Raw genomic sequence first — 8,163 nt, 5'->3', positions numbered from 1 at the left:
ATTAGATGCAGAAAAAGCAATTGAAAAAAATGCACATCTTTTTATGAAAAAGCTCTCACCAAATTAGGTATAGAAGGAATGTATTACAACATAGTAAAAGTTACATATGAGAATCACCAGAGCTAACATTATACTCAACGGTGAAAATTTGAAAACCTTTTTTCTAAGACCTAGAACAAGACAAGGATGTCTACTCTCACCATTTCTATTCAACATAGTATTGGAAGTCTAGAATAGACTTCTAATAGCAAAATAAACAAACCAAAAGCATCCAAATAAGAAAAAAGTGAAATTGTCTCTGCTTGCTGATTAGATGATCTTACAGAGAGAACCCTACTCAATACACCAAAAAGCTACTAGAACTAATAAACAAATACAGAAAAGTTGCAGGACACAAAATCAACATGCAAAATCAGTAGCATTTCTGTATGCTAATGCCAAATTATCTGATAAAAGAATCAAGAGAACAATTTCATTCACAATAGCTACAAAAATTAAAATTCTTAGGAATAAATTTAAGCAATTAGGTGAAAGACCTGTACACTGAAAACTATAAAACACTGATGAAAGAAATTGATACGATTTGGCTGTGTCCCCATCCAAATCTCATCTTCTCATTGTAGCTCCCATAATTCCCATGTGTCATGGGAAGGGCCTGGTAGAAGGTAATTGAATTATGGGGGTGGGTCTTTCCCATGCTGTTCTCATGATAGTGAATAAGTCTCACAAGATCTGACAGTTTTACAAAGGGGAGTTCCCCTGCACACTGCACACACTCTCTTGCCTGCCACCATGTAAGACATGCCTCTGCTCCTCCTCTGCCTTCTACCATGATTGTGAGGCCTCCCCAGTCATGTGGAATTGTGAATCAATTAAACATCTTTACTTTATAAATTACCCAGGCTTTTGTATGTCTTTATTAGCAGCATGAGAATGGACTAATACAGAAATTAAAGACACAAATATGTAGGAAGATATTTCATGTTAATGGATTAGAAGAATTAATATTTCTAAAACATTTATACTACAAAGCAGATCTACAAATTCAATGCAATACCTATCAAAATTTAAATGTCATTTTTCATAGAAATATAAAAAAATCCTAACATTTATATGGAGCCACAAAAAAAATAAACAAAATACAGATAGCCAAGGCAATCATGAGAAAAAAATAAACAAAGCTGGAGGTATCACACTACCTGATTTCAAACCATACTACAGGCTATGGTAATTAAAGCATCATTACTGGGAAAAAAAAAAAAAAAAAAATAGACACATTGACAAATGGAACAGAATATAGGGCCCAGAAATGAACCCATGCATTTGTGAACAATTGTATTTTGACAAAGGTGCCAAGAATATGCAACAGGAAAATTATAATCTCTTTAATAAATGGTGATGAGAAAGCTGGATATCCATGTGAAGAAGAATGAAATTGAACCATTATCTCACACCATTTACAAAATTAAACTAAAAATGGATTAAAGACATAAACATAAGACCAGAAACTATAAACCTACTAGAAGAAGACAGAAAGGAAAAACTACATGACATACATCTGTGTGATGATTTTTTCGAGTGTGACCCCAAAAGCACCAGAAATAAAAGCAAAAATAGATAAATGGGATTTCATCACACTAAAAAACTTCTGCATAGTAATGGAAACAATTATCAGTGTGCAGAGATAGCCTATGGAATGAGAGAAAATATTTTCAAGCCATACCTTTGATAGGGAGTTAATATTCAAAATATGTAAGGAGCTCAAACAACTCAACAGCAAGAAAAAAAATTCAATGAAAAGATTGATACAAGGGACTTGAATAGACATTTTATGAGGGACCTCCATACAGTTTTGTATAATGCCTGTACTAATTTACATCCCCACCAACAGGGTACAAGCGTTGCTCTTTCTCTACCTCCTTGCCAACGATATGGAGGTCTCTCAGTAAACTAAAAATAGAATTACCCTATGATCCAGCAATTCCACTTCTGGGTATTTGCACAAAATGTTTGAAATCAATTTGTTGAAGATATGTGTGCACTCCATGTTAATTGCAGCATTGTTCAAGTTATGGATTCAACCTAAGTGGCCATCAACGATGAATGAATAAAGAAAATGTGGCATATACACACAATGGTATACTATTCAACCTTAAAAAAGAAGCAAATTCTGTCATCTGTGACAACATGGATAGAATTGGAGAATATTATGATGAGTAAAATCAACCAGGCACAGAAAGACAAATACCAGATGATCTCACTTGCATATGGAATCTAAAAGGATCAAATTTATAGAAGCAAAGAGTAGGATGGTGGCTACAGAGGCTGTTGGGTGCATGAAATAAGGAGATGATGATCAAAGGGTACAAAATCTCAGACAGGAGGAAATTTTTTATAATTCTATTTCACACCATGGTAGATATAGTTAATACTAGAGAATTGTACGTTTGAAAATGCTAAGATAATAAATTTCAAATGTCCTCACCACAAATAAGTGTTATAATGTATGTGATGTTATGAATATGTTAACTAGCTTGATCTAATTATTCTACATTATGTTTATAATTCATAACATCCCTTTGTACCTTATAACATTGATACAATTATAAATTGCCAATTACAATAAAAAAGGCATAACCACTCTTTTAAATGTTTAAAAAGAATACTAAACATTAATAATAAAACTGACTCTTCTCTGTTCTTCAAGGTGGTGTCTAGTGCATTTGTTTTTGATTGATATGTATTCCAGTACCCGCTTGTCTGTGGAGTATTCCTGACTTTCAGGAAGTTATGTCTGCCTATTAAAACACTTTCTCAATTATACAATATATACATCTTATCTTGGACTCACTAGCTGGGATCTCAAAACAGTTTGAACATTTTTCTTTTGGTGTTGTTCATAACACCAACTTTAAAGATATTTCTATTGTCCATTGTATATTTGTTAAACTCTCTAATTATTACTGGCATCATAATTTGAAGAGGGACACAAATTTCTTTGATAAAACAATGCTGGAGTACATTTATCAGGACAAACATGCTACTTATCAAAGTCAATTAATTTTCCCAATAAAGCTGTTATTGAAATTCCTTCATGCACTGGTAACTATACAAATTATGTTTTTCTTTGCTGTTACTTTCATTTTCCTTCTACTTTTTGTTCACAGGGTGGGAGTCTATTCATTTATTTATCTCTTCTGTTGTCATCCCTATTATCTGTTCATGTTTTTGCTTGTCTATCATGATTTTTTTTTATGATTTTGACCATCAGAATTTTTAGTTTCAGTTACAGTAAAAGAGTTTTTGACATGTTGCCAAATTTTGTCTTTTTGTGCCAAATTATCTTTTGCCAAGATTGTCTTTATATTACATTTCCTAGCTTCCATTAGAATCTTCTCTTCCCATAGAATCTGGCTTTTTTTGTAGTTAATAATTTGGATAACAATGTACATAATTAATTTGAATTTAAGGTATGTACAAAAACAGTTCAAATTTATTTTTAGCCTACTGCCATATTGTCATGAGCTCCATAGTTGTGTAATAATAATTTTCTAATATTAAGTATATTAACATAATAATAAATACATATAGCATATCATTGGACCACTTATTTTTTCAGGGTGTTTTGAAATGTTGGTGGTAATTTTGAATGTCAATTCATCTGGGACTCCAAATTACTTCAGGACATATGCCTCAGATATACTAAGATTTGAGCTAATTTTTTGGGATGCATAAAACATGATTTCGCACTTAGAGGTACTTAATATTTATGGCACTGCTATGTGGAAAGTGTTTGTATTGTGCTACAAATACAAATATTCTGAGTAAAAATATTCTCATGCTTTTAGCTTAAAAATAAAAACGTAAGTGATATTCAAATAATTGTATATAATGTATTAACAAGTATATTCCTTATAGAGGATTTCTTGACTAATTATCAGCAAGAATTGCTTCAGTGCTAAACATCTGATAACTGGAAGAATTTCCCATAGACTAGCTTCTGGCTCCAAACTTTTCAAACCTCATTTTTTCTTCATTACCCACATACTTCCAGTGCCTTAGGATCTGTTTATATCACAATCAACCTCTGGTCCTGCACCACTGTTTTCAATACTGAGCTAGTCATGGGAGCATTTCTGAAAACCATTCCTATAATCATATGAAGAGCAATAATGTAATCACACACAGAAGGCACCCAGCATGACCTCAGCAAACTAAATATTTCCTTGATTCAACTTCCATTTAGTATGATTTCCATAACACCAGCAAACACTCCAAAGCCATCTAACATGAAAAGAAATCAGCATACATGTGCATGTGTCTTTATAATAGGATGATTTATATTTCTTTGGGTATATACCAGGTAATGGGATTGCTGGGTTGAATGGTATTTCTGTCTTCAGGTTTTTGAAGAAACACCACACTGTCTTCCACAATGGTTGAATTAATTAACACTCTCACCAACAGTGTAGAAGCATTTCTTTTTCTCCACAACCTTGCCAGCATCTCTTATTTTTGACTTTTTATTAGTAGCCATTCTGACTGGTGTGAGATGGTATATCATTGTGGTTTTGATTTGCATTTCTCTAATGATCAGTGATGTTGAGCTTTTTTTCATATACTTGTTGGCCACATGTATGTCTTCTTTTAAGAAATGTCTGCCAAGATGGCCAAATAGGAACAGCTCCAGTCTGCAGCTCCCAGCAAGATCGACACAGAATAAGGATGATTTCTGCTTTTCCAACTGAGGTACCTTGTTCATCTCATTAGGAGTGGTTGGACAGTGGGTGCAGCTCACGGAGGGTGAGCCAAAGCAGGGCAAGGCGTTGTCTCACCCAGGAAGCACAAGGGGTCAGGGGATTTCCCTTTCCTAGCCAAGGGAAGCTGTGACAGACTGCACCTGGAGAAATGGTACACTCCTGACCAAATACTGCACTTTTCCCACAGTCTTAGCAACCGGCAGACCAGGAGATACCCTCCTGCACCTGGCTTGGCAGGTCCCATGCCCACGGAGCCTTGCTCGCTGCTAGCATAGCAGTCTGAGATCAACCTGCCACACTGAAGCTTGATGGGGGGAGGGGCGTCCACCATTGCTGAGGCTTGAGTAGCTCACAGTATAAACAAAGAGACCGGGAAGCAGAAACTGGGTGGAGCCCACTGCAGCTCAGCACAGTCTACTGCTTCTATAGATTTTACCTCTGGGGGCAGGGCATAGTAGAACAAAAGGCAGCAGACAGCTTCTGCAAACTTAAATGTCCCTGTCTGACAGCTCTGAAGAGAGAGGTGGTTCTCTCAGCATGGTGTTCGAACTCAGAGAATGGACAGACAGTCTCCTCAAGTGGGTCCCTGACCCCAGTGTCGCCTAACTGGGAAACACCTCCCAGTAGGGGCCAACAGACACCTCAAACAGGCAGGTGCCCCTCTGAGACGAAGCTTCCAGAGGAAGGATCAGGCAGCAATATTTGCTGTTCTGCAGCCTCCGCTTGTCAAATCCAGGCAAACAGGGTCTGGAGTGGATGTCCAGCAAACTCCAACAGACCTGCAGCTGAGGGGTCTGACTGTTTGAAGCAAAACTAACAAACAGAAAGGAATAGCATCAACATCAACAAAAAAGACATCCACACCAAAACCCCATCTGTAGATCACCAATATCAAAGACTAAAGGTGGATAAAATCACAAAGATGGGGAGAAACCAGAGCAGAAAAGCTGAAAATTCCAAAAAACAGAGCACCTCTTCTCCTCCAAAGGATCACAGCTCCTTGCCAGCAAGGGAACAAAACTGGACAGAGAATGAGTTTGATGAACTGACAGAAGTAGGCTTCAGAAGATCAGTAATAACAAACTAATCCGAGCTAAAGGAGCATGTTCTAACCCATTGCAAGGAAGGTAAAAACCTTGAAAAAAGATTAGATGAATGGCTAACTAGAATAAACAGTGTAGAGAAGACCTTAAATGACCTGACGGAGCTGAAAAAAATGGCACAAGAACTTCGTGATGCATGCACAAGCTTCAATAGCCAATTTGATCAAGTGGAAGAAAGGATATCAGTGATTGAAGAGCAAATTAATGAAATAAAGTGAGAAGACAAGATTAGAGGAAAAAGAGTGAAAAGAAATGAACAGATCCTCCAAGAAATATGCGACTATGTGAAAAGACCAAATATACATTTGATTGGTGTACTGGAAAGTGACGGGGAGAATGGAACCAAGTTAGAAAACACACTTCAGGATATTATCCAGGATAACTTCCCCAACCTAGCAAGGCAGGCCAACATTCAAATTCAGGAAATACGGAGAACACCACAAAGATACTCCTCGAGAAGAGCAACTCCAAGACACATAATTCACCAAGGCTGAAATGAAGGAAAAAGTGTTAAGGGCAGCCAGAGAAAGGTAGGGTTACCCACAAAGGGAAGCTCATCAGACTAACAGCAGATTTCTTGGCAGAAACCCAACAAGCCAGAAGAGAGTGAAGGCCAATATACAACATTCTTAAAGAAAAGAATTTTCAACCCAGAATCTCATATTCAGACAAACTAAGCTTCGTAAGTGAAGGAAAAATAAAACCCTTTACAGACAAGCAAATGCTGAGAGATTTTGTCACTACCAGGCCTGACTTACAAAAGCTCCTGTAGGAAGCACTAAACATGGAAAGGAACAACCAGTACCAGCCACTGCAAAAACATGCCAAATTGTAAAGACCATTGATGCTATGAAGAAACTGCATCAATTAACGGGCAAAATAACCAGCTAACATCAAAATGACAGGATCAAATTCAAACATAACAATATTAACCTTAAATGTAAATGGGCTAAATGCCCCAATTAAAAGACACAGACTGGCAAATTGGATAAAGAGTCAAGATCCATCATTGTGCTGTATTCAGGAGACCCATCTCACGTGCAAAGACACACGTAGGCTCAAAATAAAGGGAGGGAGGAAGATCTACCAAGTAAATGGAAAGCAAAAAAAAGGCAGGGGTTGCAATCCTAGTCTCTGATAAAACAGACTTTAAACCAATAAAGATCAAAAGAGACAAAGAAGGCCACTACATAATGGTAAAGGGATCAATTCAACAAGAAGAGCTAACTATCCTAAATATAAATGCACCCAATACAGGAGCACCCAAATTCATAAAGCAAGTTCTTACAGACCTACAAAGAGACTTAGACTCCCACACAATAATAATGGGAGACTTTAAAACCTGACTTAATATTAGACAGATCAACAAGACAGAAGGCTAACAAGGATATCCAGGACTTGAACTCATCTCTGGACCAAGCAGACCTAATAGACATCTACAGAACTCTACACCCCAAATCAACAGAATATACATTCTTCTCAGCACCACATCACACTTATTCTAAAAATGACCACATAATTGGTAGTAAAACACTCTTCAGCAAATGTAAAAGAACAGAAATCCCAACAAACTGTGTCTCACACCACAGTGCAATCAAACTAGAACTCAGAATTGAGAAACTCACTCAAAACCACTCAACAACATGGAAACTGAACAACCTGCTCCTGAATGACTACTGGGTAAATAACGGAATGAAGGCAGAAATAAAGATGCTCTTTGAAACCAATGAGAAGAAAGACACAATGTACCAGAATCTCTGGTACACATTTAAAGCAATGTATAAAGGGAAATTTATAGCACTAAATGCCCCCAAGACAAAACAGGAAAGATCCAAAATTGACACCCTAACATCACAATTAAAAGAACTAGAGAAGCAAGAGCAAACAAATTCAAAAGCTAGCAGAAGGCAAGACATAACTAAGATCAGAGCAGAAATGAAGGAGATAGAGACACAAAAAACCCTTCAAAATATCAACGAATCCAGGAGCTGTTTTTTGAAAAGATCAACGAAATAGATAGACTGCTAGCAAGACTAATAAAGAAGAAAAGAGAAAAGAATCAAATAGACGCAATTAAAAATGATAAAGGGGATATCACCACTGATCCCACAAAAATACAAACTACCATCAGAGAATACTATAAACACCTCTATGCAAATAAACTAGAAAATCTAGAAGAAATGGATAAATTCCTGGACACATATATCCTCCCAAGACTAAACCAGGAAGAAGTTGAATATCTGAATAGACCAATAACAGGTTCTGAAATTGAGACAATAATTAATAGCCTACCAACCACA

The 8,163-nt window shown here is 36.7% G+C and overlaps 1 annotated feature.

Moving 5' to 3' along the window:
- Positions 4,942-5,569: an enhancer, noted in NCBI's record as "NANOG-H3K27ac-H3K4me1 hESC enhancer chr6:145298093-145298720 (GRCh37/hg19 assembly coordinates)". NCBI's record gives its function as "activates a minimal SCP1, AML or CMV promoter by ChIP-STARR-seq in primed H9 embryonic stem cells {active_cell/tissue: H9 hESC(primed)}" and the evidence as "EXISTENCE:reporter gene assay evidence [ECO:0000049][PMID:30033119]".

Source organism: Homo sapiens, chromosome 6 (assembly GCF_000001405.40).
Source record: "Homo sapiens chromosome 6, GRCh38.p14 Primary Assembly".
In the NCBI taxonomy this organism is placed as follows: Eukaryota; Metazoa; Chordata; class Mammalia; order Primates; family Hominidae; genus Homo; species Homo sapiens.
The sequence above is the reverse complement of the archived record's forward strand: the minus strand, read 5'-3'. Positions and strand labels throughout refer to the sequence as shown.